This window comes from Homo sapiens, chromosome 2, assembly GCF_000001405.40.
Source record: "Homo sapiens chromosome 2, GRCh38.p14 Primary Assembly".
Lineage (NCBI taxonomy): Eukaryota > Metazoa > Chordata > Mammalia > Primates > Hominidae > Homo > Homo sapiens.
The window spans coordinates 30,462,207-30,485,302 of NC_000002.12; the positions used below are offsets into that span (position 1 = coordinate 30,462,207).

General features: G+C 37.1%; 1 protein-coding gene across 11 annotated transcripts in view; it reads left to right on the top strand.

Annotated features, from left to right (window-relative positions):
* Positions 1 to 23,096, top strand: part of LCLAT1 (lysocardiolipin acyltransferase 1) — a 196,980-nt gene that overhangs the window by 14,961 nt on the left and 158,923 nt on the right. The window contains exons 2-3 of one of the 11 annotated variants that reach the window (XM_047443868.1): positions 14,371 to 14,429; positions 17,568 to 17,705. The exons of 8 other annotated variants lie outside the window; for them this stretch is intronic. The gene's annotated coding sequence lies outside the window, so the exon portion shown is untranslated. Of the gene's footprint in view, positions 1 to 14,195; positions 14,430 to 17,567; positions 17,706 to 23,096 lie in introns of all 11 variants that reach the window. 2 more of the 11 variants (NM_001304445.2, XM_017003746.2) reach the window with 2 other exon arrangements.

Sequence of the window (23,096 nt, forward strand, 5' to 3'; positions counted from 1 at the left end):
CCAGTCTTTATATACAACAAAAGAAAACAAGCACCTATTGTGTTTCTTGGATGGGGCACTCAGTTTGTATCTCCAGTAAGTTGCACTGGAGATGAAAGTGTATAATTGGAAAGTTAGAGTATATGAAAAGAATGTCCGTATAAAAATAACACATGCTGACCAAGTCAGTAGTACAGGTGATAAGATGCTTCTAGAGTTCAAAAGGGGCACAGCTTCACTAAGCAGGTGTATCTTGAGCTTAGCATTGAAGAGATGGTAGGATTTTGAGAATTGTGACTGAGGGGAGGACCCTTCTGCTCAGGAAGACCATGAGTGAACTGGAAAGGCAGTGCTGATGACAATGAATACTTAAGTTTATCTGGGGGAAACTTCTGAAACCAGGGTCTATTCCTTGTCCCCAGACAAGTTGAAAGTTGCAGCATAGTCTTTTAACTGACAGAGCTTGTGCTAAAGCTTTGTCCTTTGAAGCTAGAGTTGTTTAGAATGAACCAAAATCTATTTCGGGGCTAGCCTGCGTGATAAGGTTGGGTGATTATGTTATAAGAATTACCTTTTTTTGTGTTACGTGAGCTGATCAAAGGAAATTTTAAACTATAAAAGTTCAAAAATTTTTTGGTAGTAGAACATGAGAATAAACATATTCAAAGTAACCAGTCTGAATAGGGAGCATTCTTTAGCATAGATAAGTTTTGGTAAATAGATAGTTTTAAAAAGTCTTCTTTGTACATGAACTCACATCATTATACCCAATCTCTTGGTATTTTTTAGGGTTAGAATCTCTCCTGACCAGCTACTTGGGAGTGCCAGCTACTTGGGAGGCTGAGGCAGGAGGATTGCTTTAGTTGCTCAGGAGTTCAACACCAGTTTGGGCAACATAGCAAGATCCTCTCTCTTAATAAAAAAAGTCAACTTGAATGCTATATAAGTAATATTTATACATTTATATATTTATAAAAAATATATGAAGAACAGATCAGAATTACATTACTCAGAGATAGTTGATAACCATGTTTATTTTTATTATGCTACTTTTATTTATGTCATTACCTATACAATTTTGTAACCTACTTTTTTCACTTTATATTATTAGGATTTTCCCATGTCATAAGATTTTTTGAAAACATGGTTTCTATTAATATATAAACGTTATCATACATAGAGATTTCTTTTTTTGTTTTCTCCTTTAATTAAAAACAGAGTCATTCATTATTTTGTAAGTTGCTTTCTTCACTTCACGGGTCATGTCTACCTTTCTGAATGACTGCTTATGTTAATGTATAGTCAGCCCCTCTGTATCCACAGGTTTTGCATTCATAGATTCAACCAACCATGGATCAAAAATATTTGAAAAAGAATTGCCTCTGCACTGAACATGTACAGACTTTTTTCTTGTCATTGTTCCCTAAACAATATAACTATTTATATAGCATTTACATTGTATTAGATACTATGAGTAATTTAGAGATAAAGTATTTTGGAGGATGTGAGCAGGCTATATGCAAATATGATGTCATTTTATATAAGGAACTTGTGCATATGTTGATTTTGATGTCCTCAAGAGGCCCTGGAACAGATCCCCCATGGATATTAGATGACTGTGCTTCACTTTTTAAAAACTGGTTGCATAATATTCCAGTTATATGGCTATGCCATAATTTAACCATTTCTCTGTTGATGGACGTTTATACTATTTCTAATTTTCACATACAAATAGTGCCTCCGTGAGCATTTTTATCTTTTCTTACTTTTATGAGTACTTTTGTAGGATAGATTAGAATGAAATTATTGTGTAAAAATGTATATGTGTTTTATAATTTGCCAGCCATGCTGAATTTGCCTTTTAAAAGGGCTCTATCAGTTGATTCTCTTAGCAATTGTATGTTTGAGGCCTTATTTTCCTATGCCCTCACTTTGCTGGATACTATCATTGTCAAATATGAAAAAGTAATTGGAAACATGGTGTCATGCTACATATTAGTCTGATTTCTTTCCCTTTTTTTTTAGTGTTCATTTTTGTATGTGACTCTTGATTCTTGGCCCATTTTCCTATTGTAATTCTATAATGTTTTCATATTTTACATGTAACTCTTTAATTCATCTGGAATTTATTTTGATTTTATGGAATGAAACTGCTTGATTCTGGAGGAGATTCAAGGGCTAGTGGGTCTTGAAATTGTGTGTCTGGAAAAATTTAGAGGATAAAAATAAATTTTGCTGCCTTTGGAAAGTAGTTTGTCTCAAATTTATTTAAAAACTTAGTTTATTATTACCCAACTCTATAAAGTATGTTGGGGCAATAAGAAAATCTTGCCAACAAAAAGACCCCTTCTTACCAATGTAGAAGAGAAAGAACGCTCTGTTTTTATTTGCATGTCAGATACGTGCAGATAGGTAGTTTGAGACTACAAAATTTGAGCAGAATTTAACTCATACAGTGAAACAGACAAAACTTCTCTTGTATTCTTGGGGCAAATGGATATACCCTGTGATAGTTTCCTGTGCACCTGATGAAATTCCCGAGTTAATTTCAGTGGTGTTTGTTTGCAGTGTCTAGGGTCAGAAGGCCTATGACCTTGTCATTGTAAATCTGGAGACTAGGATAGTATCTAATTCCTGACGAAAAGGCTTGGCCTATTAGGGTTTTTTTGTTTTTGTTCTTTTTAAATTTTTATTTACTTTTTGTTTTATTTTTTACATAGAGATGGAATTTTGCCATGTTTCCCAGGCTGGTTTCAAACTCCTGAGCTCAAGCAGTCTGCCCACAAAGAGCTGGGATTACAGGCATGAGCCACCATGCCTGGCCAGGCCTGTTAGGTTTTTAAAGAGATCCTCTGTGGTAGGCTGAAAATGGTTCTCTAAAATATTCAAGTCCTAATCCTGGAACCTGTGAAATGTTACCTTGTATGTTAAAAAAAATGGTTTTTGTAATTAAATTGAGGATCTTGATGTCTAGGGCACTTATCCTGGATTATGTGAGTGGTCCCTAAAAGCAATCCTGTGTATGTTTATCAAAGTGAGGCAGAGGGAGATTATACGTACACAGAGGAGGAGGAGGCAGTTGGACCAGGAGGTAGAGATTTGAGTGTTAACGGCCACAAGTCAAGGCATTCCCACAGCCATCAACAGCTGGAATAAGCAAGGAACAGATTCTCACCTGGAGCCTTTGGAGGGAGTGTGACCTTGCTTTTGTTCTAATGATACTGCTTTCAGACTTTTTTTGGCCTCTAGGAGTGGAAGAGAATAACTTTCTGTTTTAAGCCACCAAGTAACTTGTTACAGCAGCGATAGGAAACTACTGTACACCCTAAAGACAAAAGGGCTGTGCCCCTTTTATTAAAACAAGAAAGATTCATTCATTATATTTACTATGTTAATTATTGTGAATAGCACTTAATTCTTATCTACTCTTTGCTAATCACCGTTATTTATTGGTTCTCAGTGTTGAATAACAGGCTAAACACTCTACCAAAATGACATTAAAATGAAAAGTTAACCTCAATAGTAAAGTTAATAAGGAAATATTTTGACTTTTTTTAAGCCTGGAAAGTGAGTAATTTAGAATCATTTATATTATTTTGAGATTTGCTTTTGAATTGAGGACAATAAAGTGTATTTATTTCTCTTATTAGTGAAGTGGCATGAAAGAACAAAAGTCTTCTTTAACAGAAAGAATTTCAAGTCCATTGCATTTTGTTAAAACTTTCCCCAAATTTTATTTTTTTCAACCAAGTGGTAGATTATATAACTAATGTTACAATTAATTTTTTTCTGATTTTTTTTACTGACATATAATTTCTTATATTTTTGATAAAGTAACTCCTTAGAGTTGTCTAGATGAGTTGTATTTTTTCAGTTTGCTGACAAACTATTTTTCTTGCTTTATTAAAAATGATTAAATTTCCTAATTCTGCTTTTACCTATTTGATAATTCTTTATTTTATTAGAATTGTTAGGACTTTGTAAATTTTTTCATAAAGAACCAAGCTCATTTTAAAGTTCCGCTGTTTTTTCTGTGTTTTCTTTTTTTCTTTTCTTTTCTTTTCTTTCTTTCCTGCTTTCTTTTTTTTTTCTTTGAGACAGGGTCTCACTGCCACCTAGGCTGGGCTGGAGCTCCTAGACTCAAGTGATCCTCCCACCTTGGCTTCCCAAAGTGCTGGGATTGTAAGCATGAGTCAATGTGCCTGACCCTTTCTGTGTGTTGTTATCTAATCAATCATTTTTACTGTCATCCATATTTCTATTTTTGTTTTTTAATCACACCTTTTATTTTAAAAATTTGACTGCTTGATTTTAAAATTTGCATTGCTTAGTTTATGTTCTGTTTATTTAAATACTATTTTAGAAACTATTTCAGTACAGCTTTGTATGAATCCTGTAACTTTTGATATGCGATGTCTTTATATTTTTTCTAAATATTCTGTTGCACTGGTTCTAAACTTTGGTGAATATCAGTCTCAGCTGGCAGGCTTATTAAAAATGCAGATATTCCAATTCTACTTAACACTGGGTATAGGGCCTGAGCTTCTGCATTTTTAACAAGCTCCCCACCCCCTGGTAATCTGGATTAACATCAGCATATGGGAACTACAAGTCTTATATATTTTTAATTTTTTCATTAATTCAACAGTTATTTAGGAAGGCTTAAGAATTTCAAATCTTTAGGGTTGTTTGTTTTGAATTACTCTTAGTTTTATTGTATTATAATCAGAAGCTTGCCCTGCAAAATTTATTTTTTATTTTTTTTAAATTATACTTTAAGTTCTAGGGTGCATGTGCACAACGTGCAGGTTTGTTACATATGTATACATGTGCCATGTTGGTGTGCTGCACTCGTTAACTCGTCATTTACATTAGGTATATCTCCTAATGCTATCCCTCCCCTCTCCCCCGACCCCACGACAGGCCCCGATGTGTGATGTTCCCCTTCCCGTGTCCAAGTGTTCTCATTGTTCAATTCCCACCTATGAGTGAGAATACGTGGTATTTGGTTTTTTGTCCTTGCAATAGTTTGCTGAGAATGATGGTTTCCAGCTTCATCCATGTCCCTACAAAGGACATGAACTCATCCTTTTTTATGGCTGCATAGTATTCCATGGTGTATATGTGCCACATTTTCTTAATCCAGTTTATCATTGATGGACATTTGGGTTGGTTCCAAGTCTTTGCTATTGTGAATAGTGCCACAATAAACATGTGTGCATGTGTCTTTATAGCAGCATGATTTATAATCCTTTGGGTATATACCCAGTAATGGGATGGCTGGGTCAAATGGTATTTCTAGCTGTAGATCCTTGAGGAATCGCCACACTGTCTTCCACAATGGTTGAACTAGTTTACAGTCCCACCAGCAGTGTAAAAGTGTTCCTATTTCTCCACATCCTCTCCAGCACCTGTTGTTTCTTGACTTTTTAATGATCGCCATTCTAACAGGTGTGAGATGGTATCTCATTGTGGTTTTGATTTGCATTTCCCTGATGGCCAGTGATGATGAGCATTTTTTCATGTGTCTGTTGGCTGCATAAATGTCTTCTTTTGAGAAGTGTCTGTTCATATCCTTCGCCCACTTTTTGATGGGGTTGTTTGATTTTTTTCTTGTAAATTTGTTTGAGTTCTTTGTAGATTCTGGGTATTAGCCCTTTGTCAGATGAGTAGATGGCAAAAATTGTCTCCCATTCTGTAAGTTGCCTGTTCACTCTGATGGTACTTTCTTTTGCTGTGCAGAAGCTCTTTAGTTTAATTAGATCCCATTTGTCAGTTTTGGCTTTTGTTGCCATTGCTTTTGGTGTTTTAGACATGAAGTCCTTGCCCATGCCTATGTCCTGAATGGTATTGCCTAGGTTTTCTTCTAGGGTTTTTATGGTTTTAGGTCTAACATTTAAGTCTTTAATCCGTCTTGAATTAATTTTTGTATAAGGTGTAAGGAAGAGATCCAGTTTCAGCTTTCTACATATGGCTAGCCAGTTTTGCCAGCACTAGCACCATTTATTAAATAGGGAATCCTTTCCCCATTTCTTGTTTTTGTTAGGTTTGTCAAAGATCAGATGGTTGTAGATGTGTGGTATTATTTCTGAGGGCTCTGTTCTGTTCCATTGGTCTCTCTCTCTGTTTTGGTACCAGTACCATGCTGTTTTGGTTACTGTAGCCTTGTAGTATAGTTGGAAGTCAGGTAGTGTGATGCCTCCAGCTTTGTTCTTTTGGCTTAGGATTGACTTGGCAATTGCCCTGCAAAATTAATTGAAATTTCCATTGTGGTCATTTGTAAATGACCTCCACTGTGGATAGTTGGGAAAAAAAATAGCCATTTGATATATATCTGTTTTTTTTTTAATTGAGGTGAAATTTACTGTACAAGAAATTAAGCATTTTAAAGTGGACAAATCAGTGGCATTGAGTACATTCATGTGTTGTGCCACCACCACTGCTGTCTAGTTTCAAAACATTTTTATCACCTCAAAGGAAACTGTGTACCATTAAGCAGTTGCTCCCTTCTACCCAGCCTCTGGCAACCACCAGTCTGCTTTCATTTCTATGGATTTGCCTATTCTGAATATTTCATATAAATGAAATTATGCAATACGTGACCTTTTGTGTCTTCTTCACTTAGTATAATGTTTTCAAGGTTTATTTAACTCTTTGAGAAACTGCTATTTTACATTCCCACCAGCAATATATGAGGGTTGCAAATTTTCTGCATCCTTACCAATGCTTGTTATTTTCCATTTTTAAAATTGTGCCCATGCTAGTGGGTATATAGTGATATCTCATTGTGGTTTTGATTTGCATTTCCCCAATGATGTATGATGTTGAGTAGCTTTTCTTATGCTTATCAACCATTTGTATGTTTTCTTTGGAGAAATATCTATTCAAGTCCTTTACTCATTTAAAAAAGTTATTTGTCTTTTTGTTGTTGAGTTGTAAGAGTTCTTTATGTATTCTGGATACTAGACCCTTGACTTGTGAATTTTTCTTCCATTCTGTGGGTTGTCTTTTCATTTTCTTGATGGTGGTCTTTCACGTGCAAAAGTGTTTCATCTGGATGCAGTCCAGTTGATTTTTTTTTTCTTTTGTTGCTCATGTTTCTGGTGTCACATGTAACAATCCCTTGCCAAATCCAAGGTTGTGAAGATTTACCTTTGTTTTCGTATAAGAATTTTATAGTTTTATCTTTTGTGTTTAGGTTTTTGATAGATTTTGAATGAGTTTGAGGACACCTTCCTTCTTTTGCATGTAGCTATCCAGTAGTATCATTTGTTACAGATATTGTTCTCTCTCCATTGAATGGTCTTTGCACCCTCGTTGAAAATCAGTTGGCCATAGATGTATGGTCATAATTCTGGACTCTCAATTAATTGGGCTACAGGTCTCTTCTTTTTTTTTTTTTTTTTTTTTTGAGACGGAGTCTAGCTCTGTCACCCAGGGTGGAGTGCAGTGGTGTGATCTGGACTCACTACAACCTCCGCCTCTGGGGTTCAAGCGATTCTTCTGCCTCAGTCTGCTGAGTAGCTGGGACTACAGGTGCCCACCACCACACCTGGCTGGGACTACAGGCATGTGCCACCTGTGCCCAGCTAATTTTTTGTATTTTTAGTAGAGAGCCAGGATGGTCTCGATCTCCTGACCTCATGATCCACCTGCTTCGGCCTCCCAAAGTGCTGAGATTACATGCATGAGCCACTGCACCTGGCCCTAATTTTTGTATTTTTTAGTAGAGATGGCGTTTCGCTGTGTTGGCCAAGCTAGTCTCAAACTTCTGGCCTCAAGTGATCCACCCGCCTCAGCCTCCCAAAGTGCTGGGATTACAGGCATGAGTCACCACGCCCAGCAAGAATCTGCATCTGATTGGTTGGGTCAGGAATGAAATCACACGAGTGTCAAAATGGTCTTGTGTGTCGAGTCAGTTTCGGGTGGGGGTTACAGGGCCAGTTGAGTCAATTTCATGGTATGAGTAACCCAGGTGGCATCAGTTGGTCCACCAGAACACGAGGTCTGAAAAATACCTCAAGAATCAGCCTTGGGTTTTACAATAATGAGGTAATCTATTGGGGTAATCGGGGAAGTTACAAGTCTTATGACCACTGGCTAGTGACTCCTGTCTAGTAAGTAATTACAAAAAAGACAAGTTAGAAAATAGTGTCTTGTTATTATTTAACTATGCTTAAGTCTTAGCAGAATTCAGGCTCCTACTGTAATTCTGACCTTGTGTCCTTTTGTTATTTTTTACAAAGATGGTTTTGGTCTCTAAACAAGGAGGGGGTTAGTTTTGGGAAAGGACTATTATCATATTTGCTTTAAAGTTAAAATACAAACTAAATTCCTCCCATAGTTGGCTTGGCCTATGTGCAGGAATGAGCAGAGACAGCTTATGAGGTTAGAAGCAAGATGGAGTCAGCTACGTTAGGGTTTTCTCACTGTTATAATTTTGCAAAGGCAGTTTCAGTACCACATTGTTTTGATTACTGTAGCCTCTTAGTAAGTTTTGAAATTAGGAAGTGTGAGTCCTCCAACTTTGTTCTTTTTCAGTGTTGTTTTGGCTGCTTGGAACCACTTGGAATTCCATTCATATTTGGTGATTGGCTTTTCCATTTCTGCAAAAGTTATTGGAATTTTGATAGAGATTGAATTGAGTCTGTAGATTGCTTTGAGTAGTATTGCCATGTTAATAGTATTGTCTTTTATTTATTTATTTTCATTTTATTTATTTATTCATTCTTTTTTTTTTTTTTTTGAGACAGAGTTTTGCTCTGTTGCCCAGGCTGGAGTGCAGTGGTGCGATCTTGGCTCACTGCAACCTCTGCCTCCCGGATTCAAGCAATTCTCTGCCTCAGCCTCCCGAGTAGCTGGGATTACAGGCGCCCACCACCACGCCTGGCTAATTTTTTGTATTTTTAGTAGGGACGGAGTTTCACCATTTTGGCCATGCTGATCTTGAACTCCTGACCTCGTGATCCACCTGCCTTGGCCTCCCAAAGTGCTGGGATTACTGGCATGAGCCACTGCACCCGGCCTATTTATTTATTTTCTAAGATAGAGTCTCACAATGTTGCCCAGGCTGGAGTGCAGTGGTGTGATCTCAGCTCACTGCAACCTCCGCCTCCCGGGTTCAAGCGATTCTTCTGCCTCAGCCTCCTGAGTAGCTGGAACTACAGGTGTGTGCCACCACACCTGACTAGTTTTTGTATTTTTAGTAGAGACAGGGTTTCGCCATGTTGCCCAGGCTGGTCTTGAACTCCTGACCTCAAGTGATCCACCCGCCTCAGCCTCCCAAAGTGCTGGGATCACAGGCGTGAGCCACTGTGCCTGGCCAGTATTGTCTTTTAATCCCTAAACCTGGTATATCCTTCCATATATTAGATTTTCCTTAATTTGTTAATGTTTTGTGGTTTTCAAAGTGTCTTTTACCTCCTTGGTTAAATTTATTCCTAGGTTTATTCTTTTGATGTTATTGTAAATGGAATTACTAATTTTCCTTTCGGTTTGTTTATTACTGGTGCGTAGAAACATAGTTGGTTTTTGTGTGTTGATCTCGTACCCTTCAACTTTGCTGAATTTATTAGCTCTAGTAGTATTTTTGTGGGTTCCTAAGGATTTTCTATACATAGGATCATGTCATGTGCAGATTCTTCCTTCTGATTTGGATGAATTTTATTTATTTTTCTTGCCTAATTGTTCTCACTAGAAATTCTAGTACAATGTTGAATAACAGTGGTGAAAGCAATCATCCTTGTCTTATTCTTGATTTTAGGGGGAAAGCTTGTAGTCACTTTATCCCTGAGCATGAAATATGAACATCATTGTCATGAACCATTGCTGTGGGTTTTTCATAGTGCCCTTTTCTTTTAAATCTTTAACATTCTTCTGAGTGGAGTTAACTGGAAAACTTTAAAGAAGCTAATTTAAAATTTTTGCTAGTTTATGGGACATAGTCTCAAAATTGAGAACAGAAGAAACATCCACATGGTTGTAATTTTTGTCCTTAGGGCTTACATGGGCAAGAATATACAGAAAGCATTTATGGAAAAGGAGTTAAAAGGAGACAAGACTTTCAGAACTCACTGAATAGAAGATTCCACTTGTTTATTTGGTTTTACTCTCTAAACTGTTGGAGTTGATAATTAAGCCCCTTCTAAGGCTTTACTTTTTGTCACTGGCTTGTAAAACTGGAAAATTTGCCCAGATTAAGCCTTTTAATGTTTTATTTTGTGTTAATTTCTTTCTTGATTTGAGATAAATGTTTATAAACATCAACCAGTTTTTGTTTATGAGGCCTACACTGGAGGAAAGGACTGTAATTACTAATGTTGCATCAGAAGTTGCTCAGACAAATGGAAACTTTTTCTTTTCTTATAAAAGTGGAAGTGCCCCTAGTGTCAGAATGCACATTATTCTTGCATTTGGTAAAGTGTTCTGTTGTGTTTTTGTAGTCATTTTAATGACATTCAGATAGGTTTTATGCAAAATGTTTATGGTAGGCCAGATCTTAAAAACATTTTTTTGCAGGGAGTCAGGAGGTGATTACCTTTCCAGGTAATTTCAGGAATTTTCAGTTTTCCTAAATATTTTTAGGAAGAAACCCAGGTTCTATTAGAATATTTTGTCTCCACAAGTCTTGCCAGTCCCTCCTACCTGCCCCCCACAATACCTTGTAATGGAACATTTTGTGCCATGTCTAGCTAATGCATTAGATGAAACTTTTAAGTCACAGTGATGAGGAAGAAAAAAGATTGGCTGTGGATAGTGTGTTGCAACTATTTTTGCATTAAATCATAATTATGCCTTTCTGTCTTCTCTGGAGTTGAAAAAAAAATGATTTGTTGTCTCTGAATATAGTTGATATTTGTGTACCATATATCCATGGCCTCACCAGTCAGGAGAGAGATTTCCATCTTGGAAAATAGTTTGTCTGGAGTGAATGTTTCTGATTAATTCATTATGTGTATAGGAAAATTATATATGTATGACAGTTACATATGTTAGACAGTTATATGTGTCTAACTGTATTACATATATAACTACCATATGACAGTTGCATATGCTATTATGAAGACATATATATGTATGTGTGTATACATATATATAAAGTTCTGAACAAGGAGGGCGGGTTGTATGCTTCTTATAGTAAAAGGAATCTGAATCTATTACGATCTTTCTTTTAAGTTAGTGTCCTTGGGATAAGGAGAGCAGGTAGACGGAAGAGAACCTGGTAAGCTTAAAAGCCACCTGATTCTCCTGATTTGGGTCACCCGCATCTGGAACATCCTCTTTAATTTGGTTATCAACATGTTTTTTCATCCCTTTATTTATTCTATAATTCCTTATAATCGTGATAATTTATGAACCTAAACAAAGACTTTTTGTGTTGATTTCTTCAGTGACATAAAAATTAACCTACTTCTGTGGATGGATAGATGAACATGGATGCGTTCTATGGAGCAGAGTCTACCAAAATTATTTTTTTAAATCATCTGAAACAAATTGTGCTATTGGATTGACCATTTTCCTCAGTTGTTTTAACTGTTTACAGGGAATGAAGATGAGTGGGCAACAGGTTGTGGTTGCTAGAGTTCATGTCTTCACCATTATCTGCAGTCTGAATATTGGCTCTAAAGGTTCTGAAACCTGGTTTCCTAGTTTTATGCAGTGCTAATTTATACCAGTGAAATTTATAAGGGATTGATTTTCAAAACCCAAAGGCTTGTTTATTAGTTTACATGGGCAGTGGACCTTTCCAGTCCAATTCACTGTTTGGATTGTTTTTGTGTTGGTATCTGAGTATCAAACAACATCTTACCAATAATAAGAAAACTGTGTAATGTGTTAAAGATAATATAATGACTTATGCAGCTATGAAAATACATGTGTTAAAGAAAAACTCATAATCAGGGAAGAAGGCAAATGTTATACCTGTTTCAATGGAAAAGTAAAATAACCCACAAATTTATATGGAGTAAAGAAATGTTGAAATGGACCCAAGTGGAGACAAACTGGTTTGTTGGGGAGAGGGAGCTGGGGAGAAGCTCAGGAGGACAACTGAACCTGCTCCCTGACAGGATAGAATTTACATGTCCCTCAGTTAACCCATAGTCTATACAGTGTTGTAAAATAGCTCCCATCAAACAGAATCTGATAAAGTGTAGAGGTGTGCTATAAATCATGCCTAGTTTTCCATCAGATTTTTCTCTACATGTTACTGTGACTTGCAGTGAGTGGGGGTTAAAAGATGTTTTTTAAATTTAAGAGACAGGGACTTGCTATGTTGCCCAAGCTGGGCTTGAACTCCTTGATCCTCTTGCCTTAGCCTTCTGAGTAGCTGGGAATACAGGCGTGTGCCACAGATATTTGAGTACAGTTCTGGATCCTCTTTGAGCCTGATGAGCTTTTAAAATTGTGCTATTACCTGGTTAATGAATGAACAGTTTTAATGATTTGGTTTTAAATAATTTAACTTTTTTTTTTTTTTTTCTAAATAGGGCCTCACTCTATCACCCAGGCTGGAGTGCAGTGGCACAATCCCAGCTCACAGTAGCCTTGACCTCCTGGGCTCAAGTGATCCTCCTGGCACAGCCTCCTGTGTAGTTGGGATCACAGGTGTGCACCACCACACATGGCTAATTTTTAAAAAATTTTTTGTAGAGATGAGGTCTCATTTTGTTGCCTAGGCTGGTCTGGAACTCCTAGGCTCAAGCAATTCTCCCACCTTGGTCTCTCAAAGTGCTGGGATTACAGGCATGAGCCACCACACCTGGCCTTAAATTTGTTAGTTATACACAGATCCAGGTTCAGATTTACCTTGCTAGTCTTATTCTGTGTGTGTGAGACAGGGTCTAACTGTTGCCCAGGCTGGAGTACAGTGGCACAATCATAGCTCATTGTATCCTTGAACTCCTGGGCTCAAGTGATTATTCTGCCTCAGCCTTCCAAGCAGCTGGGATTACAAGCATGTGCCACCACCACTGGTTAATAAATTTTTTTTTTTGTAGAGGCAGAGTCTCACTGTGTTGCCCAGGCTGGTCTAGAACTCCTGGGCTCAAGTGATACTTCTGTCTCAGACTCCCACAGTTCTGGGATTACAAAATTGAGTCATGGTCCCTTACTAGTCTTATGGAAACTTATAATTTTCTTTTTGGCACTGGGTCTTTTTTGGATAGCTGGTGGTGACTTGGAGGCTGGCTGCAAGGGGCAGTATTAAATGTAATCTGGTATTATATGCTTTTTTTAAATAAACATGTAACCGTTAAAATTGCATACAATTATTGGAGGCTATATAATGGGGTTGGAAAGAGTCCCAGCTCTATGATAATCTGGATTACTGACCTATACAACAACATTTGCAGTTATTATGATTTTTGACCTAATTTGTCAGAATCTTCATTTTAATTCATTCTGAACATTTTAATGCATGTTTAAATAGAATAATTTTTAAATTGGCATGCCTGTTTTATACAACTCAGCCCAGTATTTTTCTTTTAGCCAGAATAAATGTTGAATGATTCCTTCCTTTTAGTGATTCTTTCTGATACAGTTTCTCCTAATATGTGATGCCCTCTAGTGAATTCAGCCTTTCAGAAATATTTTGAGAAGCAAGATTTTGAGAAGATTTCAGTATAATGAAATCTCAAGGAACATTCTAATAATTAGAACTATTCCTTTATGCTTTGTTGAGATGCAGGTTTCTCTCTCTATAAGTGTTCAAGTGAAGATTTGATAATCCACTATGAGTCTTATTTTTGAATAGAGTGAAACTTTTCCAGATGACTTCTAAAGTCTTCTTCAGCTTCATGGTTCTAGCTTCCATATAAACCAGTAGTCGTCAGCCAATAAATATTGAACATTCACTGGACCTTAAGCACTGTCCTGGGGCATTGTGAAGGTTCCAAAGGTAGTATAGGTCATAGATGTGATTTCAAGTAACTAATGCATCAAGAGGATGAAATAAAGTAGCTAACCTTTATTGAAGATTTACTCTGTTCCTGGAGCTGCTGAAGACAGTTTACTTTGTCATTTAATCCTCACAATAGTCTTTAAGTAGCTACCACTTTTAGTCCAATTTATTTGTGTAGATATTGGGACCCAGAGAGGTTAAATAATTTGCCCAGGGTCACACAGTAAGTGTTGGAACCAGGACCAGTTTATGTAAAATAATAGTGGGTAGGAGGTGAATGGCAGGACAGCAATCAAAGTTTCATCTGTCTTTACAGCCACTCCACATCACTTGAATTATCTCCTGATTTCCACCTCTGCTCAGATCCGCCACTGCATTCGATTCTTACAGGAACGCAGGCCCTATAACTGTGCTTGCAGGGGATCTAGGTTGCATGTTCCTTAGGAGAATCTAATGCCTGATGATCTGTCACTGTCTCCTATCATCCCCAGATAGGACCATCTAGTCTCAGGAAAACAAGCTCAGAACGCTCGCCGATTCTACCATTATGGTGAGTTGTATAATTATTTCATTATATATTACAGTGTAGTAGTAATAGTGGAAATAAAGTACGCAATAAATGTAATGTGCTTGAATCCTGAAACCACCCCTTCCCCTGCCCCTGCCATCCATGGAAAAATCGTCTTCTATGAAACCAGTTCCTGGTGCCAAAAAGGCTGGGGACTGCTGGCTTACAGGCTGTCAGCTCTCTGAGGGTGTATTTAGTTGTCTGTATTAAGCTAGCTCAAATTACTTTTGGATACCTCTTTACACTGTCATACTTAAGTGTGTGATTCTCTTATTAGCTTCAGTCACAGAAGTGATAGTTAATAATTTGTACATAAGTTTTGCAGTTCATTTTAATTTTTGGCCCATAAGGTATTTTACTTACTCTAAAGACTTACTTGATAGAATGACACAATCTTACCTTCTTTTTTCTTTAAAGCATCCATTCTTTGATGTTTAGTGAATCAACGCTTGTTCCTGTGCCTAAGAATCCTTTGAGGGCATTTATGACTTGTAGGTTTCTTTTGATTTTCAGAGACATTTACCACCCTCTTTATTGGATTTTAAGGCTAGGATAGCTGTTGTCCTTTTTGTTTTTATCACCTAGACTAAATAGAAATCGATTTCTCCATTTGTAGGTAAATTAATTTCATCAAATTAGAGCTAGCCTTTTGATGCCTTGGATTGTACCTGTTTGTGGTGTATTCAGGTTAGTGCTTGTTGTTTGGAGAAAATATGGAATACATCTTCGGTCTAATTACTGGAAAGATAATGTGAGCCTTAAAGAAGAAAGGAATATTATATTGTGATATATAAGGTAGGTCATTCTCATTTCTGGATACTTGTTTGGTGTCCATTTATGAAATGGTTTGTTTGCTCCAAAGTATCTGTATATAGCCTCTAACTGGTATACAACTAAGTCACAGATTGTGACCCTAATGGCCTGAGCACCCCTTAGGCTTCATCTCTCCCTGATTTCACTTCTGCGCATACCTAAAGACTTGATGTTATCAACATATCACTTTATCTTTCCATTTAGGCTATCCCTGAGTAATGAGAAGGAATGTGAGAAGAAATTAAATTGGAGGCTTTCCTAGTGAAAGGAGAGACACTCAGAGGTGGCCAGCCTAGGATTTTAAGAAGTCTAGAAAGATTGAGCAGGGCTCCCGAGAAGAATATTTTAATGAAAGTAGGAGGTTAGAAAAATCCTACCTGACTCTGTGCCCGTTTTGGTAAAAACAGAACAACTTTTTAAGACTTCTTGAAATTTTACGATTTTCCTTCTGTTTTTCTAATTTCTCTCTCTCCCCCCTGAAAGTTTTTCTAGCAGTGAAAAATCTCAAAGATTTACTTAAGGGATAGGAATTAAGGAATTTTGTGGTCTGAATTCTGTGGCCCAGGATTTGGGAACGTAAAGTCAAAAGTGTTAGTGAGGGATTAAAAAAAAAAAAAAAAAAAGGCATAAGCCAGTTACAGAAGCATTTGGAACTGGGCCTCCCACAGTTTATGAGTTAACACGAGATTGGGGTGTTAGGAGATAGTTTTATAAATCATTATTTGAAGTTAAGCATTTATTCATAATGGTTAAAGACTGTGTTGTTATTAGTGCTATTTTCAGGTACATTTTTGTGAAGTTGGCTTTTGTAGGCTGACGTGAAAACCTGATCACTTTTTATAACATAATTTTTGTGGGAAAATGCATTCTGAATTCCAAACAGCTGATTTAAATGCAGAGTTTTAGCATGCTACCTGCTCATAAGTTGGGACTGTTTTCTCTGTTCATATTCTGGTAGAATTCCCAATTTGGTACATTTCTAATCTGGGAAACAAAATTTTATTTGACTGTAGATGAGGTAAATCTCTATAGAATAGTTATATGTGTAAAAATAAGTTACTTCTTAGCTGAGTGTAGTGGTGTGTGCCTATAGTCCTAGTACTTAGGAGGCTGAGACGGGAGGATCACTTGAGCCCAGGAGCAGTAAGCCATGATTGTGCCACTGCACTCCAGTCTGGATGACAGAATGAGAACCTGTCAATAAATAAATAAATAGATAGATAGGTAGGTAGGTAGGTAGGTAGGTAGATACATAAATTTAAAAAACCAAACATAGACACACATAAACAAATGAAGTAACTTTCATAACCAGAAACTACAGTAATCTTTGGCATAGTATTTGTAACTTAAGACTTGGTTTTGTATTGTCCAAGATTTTTTAAGATCTTTAGGTTAAGATTCAGATGGACTTGCTGACTTGTGTTACATTGTAAAAGGGGAATCAAGCCTCCTGGGATATACTTGGGTTGCCCAATTGCTGTGTTTCTTTAAGTATTTTTTTCCCTTTTTAGGGCCTTTGTTTCTTCATCTACAAAATAAGAATGTTCATAATGGCATTATTCATATAGCTCAAACTTGAAAAATACACAGATGTCAGACAGAATAGATGAATACATTTTGGGATATTTATACAGTGAAATACCGTACAGCAATGAGCAAGAAGAAACAATTGTGGCACTTACTTATTTGGGTGAATCTCACAGACATGTTGAATAAAAGCAGCCAGATGCAGTAGAGTATATACTTGTTTTTTGTTTTTTATTTTCTTTGGTTTTTTTTTTGGGACAGGGTCTCATTCAGTCATCCAGGCTGGACTACAGTGGTGTGATCATAGCTCTCTGCAGCTTCCAACTTTGGGGTTCAAGTGATCCTCCTGCCTCAGCCTCCCAAGTAGTTGGGACCACAGGCTCATGTCGCCATCCCCATCTGTGGAGGATTGCTCAAGCTATCCTCCCATTTTTGTAGAGGTGGGATCTCAGCATGTTACCCAGGCTGGTCTAGAACTCCTGGACTCAAGCAGTCCCTCTGCCTCAGCCTCGCAAAGTGCTGAGATTATAGGTGTGAGCCACCATGCCTGGCTGTGTATATGTTTGTTAATTCCATTTAGATAAAAGACAGGTAAGACTACTGATGGTCATAGAATTCAGAATTGTGGTTACCAGTGGAGTAGTTAATTATTGGGAAGGGACATGCATGAAGGAGGCTTCTGGGTTGCAGGCAATACTCTGTCTCGATCTGGATACTAACTTTGTAAAAAATTTATTAAGTCATATACTTAGGATTTGTGTATTTTACTGAACACTACAGTTTTAAGAAGGCTGAAAGTATGTACCAAAACGAAACACAAAAAAGAAAAAAGTAAAAGAAACAAAAGATTGACTGGATTGGGAGCCAGGAAAACTGAGTTCGGACCTCAGCTCCACCACTGAACATCTGTGATTTTAGGTAACTCATTGACCTCTTTGCCTTAGTGATTGTATCTCTAAAATGGAAATAATCCCTGCCTTCTGTATTTCAATCAGGTTAAACACTTTCATCCTTTTATACTGTATCTCATTACATCATAGAGATAAACCTTTGAAAACACATTGGAGGCTATTTAAAATATTGTGGATGTAAAATGACATTATTTTCCTGTTAATACTTTTATATTTGTTGTATTAGTATTCTGTTTAATAAAAAGGACCCCATATAAAAGTAGCAAAAGGGCCAAAGACTGATCAGCTGAACGACATTTGTTACACTTACTTTTTTTCTTTTTTCCAGACAGGGGCTTGCTCTTTTGTCCAGGGTGGAGTGCAGTGGCTCGATCTTGGATAGCTCAAGCTGTCCTCCCACCTCAGCCTCCTGAGTAGCTGGGACTACAGGTGTACACCACCATGCTCGGCTAATTTTTATATTTTTTCTTTGTAGAAATGGGGTTTTGCCATGTTACCCAGGCTGGTCTCCAACTTCTGAGTTCAAGTAATCTACCTGCCTTGGCTTCCCAAAGTGCTGGGATTACAGGTTTGAGCCACTGCGCCTGGCCTATACTAGCTTTTGAATTCCTGGAAAAAATATAAAATGACAGTATCAATTTATCTGACTTTTTCTCTTTTTTATATTAAGCCCTCCATCAAGTAGAAATTGAGCTCTTTCATGCAGGGTATGATGCTTCATGCTTGTAATTCCACCTCTTTGGGAGGCCTAGGCGAGGGGATCAATTGAGGCCTGGAGTTCAAGGCTGCAGTGAGGTGTGATCCCATCATTGCAGTTTTAGCCTGGGCAATAGAGTGAGACTGTTTCTGGGGTTGGGGAAAATTCGAGCTCTTTCAAAGTGTGCTGGGGTTTTTTGCTGAGGATATAATAGTGCACAATATCAATATGGTCCTTACAACTACAGAACTATAGAACTAAGATTCTAGAGGGAATGACAGGTGGAAAACCAGGAAACAGACAAATGAATAAACAACTGCTGGCTGTAATGAGAGCCATAAACGAAGCACTCAGGACTGAGACAAAATCACTATTGAGGGGAACTTGCTTTAAGTAGTGGTCAGCCTTAGAGCTTGTTTAAGGAGTTGACATTAAGCTGACACCTAAAACCTAAAGGAAGAAACAGAGGTAGTGAAACAAAGTCTGAGAAGGTAGCCTGGACAGTTTGCACTAAGCCTTGAGGTGGGATGTGGCCTGTTGGGGAACCTGGCAGAAGAGGTTAGTTAGCACAGAGGTAGAAGGGGAGTGGTAATTCGATTTTTACTCTAGGCTCAATGGAAAGCCGTTAAAGGCTTTTAAACTGGGAAATTATGTAACTGGATTTACATTGTAAGATTACACGCAAGTGTTAGGTAAGTAGATGAACCTGTGGGTCGGTCTGCAGCTAAGATAATGTGTTGGAGATATTTTGGTAATATCAGCATAAAGATAGCACAAAGGAAGAGGGAGGAGGAAAAGGATAGAGAGAAGACAACTGATGGCTGAGTGATAGGAAGCCTCAGCATTTAGAGGTCTGGTAGAGGAGGGGGAGCCAACCAAGCCAACTAGGAGAGAAGGATCACCGATGTCAGAAGAAAACCTGGAGAGTGTTGTCACAAAAGCCAAGAGAGGCTAGCATTTCAAGGAGGAAGTGGCCATGCGTGTGGAATGCTGCCAAGAGGGTAGAGTAAAATGAGGACAGAGAAGTAGCTATTGGATGTGGCTACATGAAAGTGGACTTTTTTGCCAAAGTGGTTTCAGTGGAATGGTAGAGGCAGAAAGCTGACTGAAGAGGGAAGTTGATTGAGGAGGGAATGGGAAGTGAGGAAGCAGAGACCGTGTATGTAGTTAATGATTCATTTCTCTGGGCAATCAGTTTAGATGTATACTTTGCTACCCCAGAGTATTCGAGGAGTCTTAAAAACCCATTCAGTAAGCCTAGGGGTTTGCATTATCCATAAATGGCTGTAGGAACTTAGTATTGGCCTTTGACTTCCAATAATTTTTCTTTGATTAGCATTTAATTGTTAATTTGAGAGATTCTGAATTTTGTAGGAGGCTTCCATGTATAGTAAAGCTGAGTATTCAATCTGTTAACTTCTAGAGAACTAGTATTATAAATAAATTGAAACTTGGATTATTTACCTTTTCAGGGAAGTAATTATAAGCCTTGAAAGTTATGCAAAAACTATTTCATCTTAAAACACTTAGAAATTCATTTTGGTTTTTGTGATTACAGTGTTCAGTAAGACAGACATCTAAATAGGGATTGCATTTGGCAGTTATGTACATGTTCTTGTTCTAAACTAAGCACTGTTTCTGTGGTTTACATTTTTCCTTTATAAATAGAATTTTAATCAGTGTAGGTTAGATTTTTTTTCCAGGCATGTTATAATTAGCACTGGCTACAACTTAATCCTAAAATGTGTATAATAAATCTAATAATATTTTATAAGCACTCCTGCCATTAAATGAAAGCAGATAGGAATTATTTGAATATTTTAAAAAATCTCTAGTATATATCTTTCCAAAACTGTGTGGAAAGAATGTATGGCTATTTAAAAGAAAAAAGTTAATACGTAACTTCCTTGGTCTTGTCACTGAGAATGATGTTACTTATATTTTGGAGCCACATGGTCTTATATGCCGTGACAGCTCATTCATATATTCTTTTGAATATGCTGTGTAGTAATGTAGTTACTGGAAGATAAAGCATTGCTGTAGGATCTACTTTCCAAATGTGATATGTCTGCCAATTTAGGCCCAGTGCTTTAGGAGGCTGAGGCAGGAGTATCGCTTGAGGCTAGTAGTTCGATTAAGAGCAGCCTGGTCAACATTGTGAAACCCTGTCCCTATTAAAAAAAAAAAAAGCAAAACCCAAACAAACCTAAGGACAAGCAGTTTGGATTACAGGAAATTGTTTAGTAGTATGGTTAAGAAGCACCCTCTCTGGAGTAAGATACACTTGGGGTCCAGTCTCAGCTTTTTAGAATCTTAGATCATCAAAAGCAAGGAAAGTCGGAGAAACTGTCATGGCCAAGAGGAGCCAAGGGAGACATGATGGCTAAATGTAATGTGGTATTCTAATGGAACCCTGGTGCAGAAGAACATGAGATAAAAACTAAGCAAATTTAAATAAATTTGGACTTTAGTTAATACAAATGTAATATTGCTTCATTAGTTGTGACAAATGTATCTACTAACATAAGACATTAATATTAGGGGAAACTGAGCATAGAGTGTATGGAAATTCTGTCCTATCATCACAATTTTAAAACTACTCTAGGCCAAGCACAGTGGCTCACACCTCTAATCCCAGCACTTCAGGAGGCTGAGGTTGGGGGGATCACTTGAGCCCAGGAGTTCGAGACCAGCTTAGGCAACATAGGGATACCCTGTCTCTATAAAAATAAAATAAATAAAATTAAAACTACTCCAAAGTAAAAAAGTTTATTAAGAAAAAGAATGTATTTTTATAACCATCTTTAGAAAATACAACCTGCCACGCTTAGTAACTCTGATTATATGATTCAACCTTAGTAGATCTCACTGTCTTTATCTTTAAAGTGAGGATATAATGTGTCTACCTCCATAGGGTTGTTCTGAGGATTTAATGAAGCACTGCAAGCAAAAGGGCCTGGCAAAGTGTCTGGCATAGTGAATGCTCAACAAATGCTACTAGTGATGATGAAAACTCATCTTTAATTTTTTTTTAATGTCTGCATAAGCAAACCCACATTCATACATTTTGGTTGAGCTATAAGAGATCTGGCATTGCAAACCAGACCCAGTTTAGGGCCTAGACCTACCATATCCATTTCCAGTTGTCTTAACTTGTATTTAAAACTAAAACTCCTACTGGATTTTAAAGGCAATTCTACTTTATTCTCAAGCCTTAAATTTTATGGGCAGCATAGTGAATGGGAACGAGTACTGAACAGGAATTAGGAGACCTGACTTTTAGGCCCCAGTTTGCCACTAAATAGTTCAGTGATTTGGGGCATTTTTTTTTACCTTTTAGAAACTTCATTTTCTTGTTAGTAAAATGAGAATGTTGAACTGGATCCTATTTATTTGTGAAATTGAGTTATATTGATATCTAAGTGAGAAATGTGCTTCAGAGCAGTCACCTTAGAGGTTTTGTCTTCCCAGGTGGCCTCCCAGGAAAATTAGTCTATTACCCATGTTTACATCTGATTTTGGACCAAATATAGATGGCCCTGCTTGCTGATCCATCATATTCTCTGTATTAGGCCCCATGAGACTCTTTAATTGCTTCAAAAACTCAAATTCGCTTTCAAAGTTTGGAGATTTGTTACCATTCATTGAGGATAATTAATAGAATGTGCTAAAGGTTCTGCAGGGATTTCCCATAAAGGAGTTCTAAAAATATTATAAGTATTGACAGCATTATGGGAATAAGTATTGTGGCCTTCCCAAATCAGTCATTTTGAAAGCCACAGGGCTCTTTTGGAAATAATTCTGGTATTATTATTATTTTTTAGTGTATTAACTCGTTGTACCATGTGATTCTAGTTTTGAGACTTTTAAATTTTGGGGGTTTTCTCAGTTTCATTATAACTTCCTGGCTTTGCGTTTAACCAATGTTATTTTATTGTAATTTTAAGATAATAGCACTAGAAAAGTACTGTGGGCAAGAGCTATGTTGTGCAGAATAAAATCTCTAATGCAGATCTAGTTTCTGTTTCTTTGTCCAGAGCTTAGAGGAAAGCTTGGCCACACATTCTATAAATGTTAGCCATCAAATTTTAATATGACTAGAACTATTATGATCAGTGTTTAACTGTATGTACATTTGAGAGTGTAACATTCAGTAACATTTGACAGTTTTAAAAAAGTGATTTCATTTTAAAATAAGTTGAACTATTTATCAAATATTTCATTTTCCATATGTGTTTTAAATTGAATTTCAGTGACCTAAAATTCTGTTTGTAGAAATAACTTTGCACATCTTTTACTATGGTATGATATGTTATGGTATGCTATGGTATGGTATGGTATGGTATGGTATATGTGTGTTAAATTTTTTAAAAACAGTAACTCACTTAAGCAGAAGGTTTATTAAACCCTGACTAATTAAATTATCCAAACATTAACAGACTGCTATATGGTACTAATACTGGTTTTTGTAATATTGTTAAGTCACTTAGTGTGATCTTTCACCAGTGAATAATTGCATATTTTCCATGGAAAGCATTGTGATAAGAGATATATACTACTATTAGAAACCATTAACTTTAGGAATTATCAGCAGATGTTTTCCATGCATGGTTGGCTTCATTTGGTTTGGTCCCCGCTTAGCTGAATAGTTTTAAGCTGACTAGAAAGATATATAGCTAACGTTTACATGACGTATTTGGA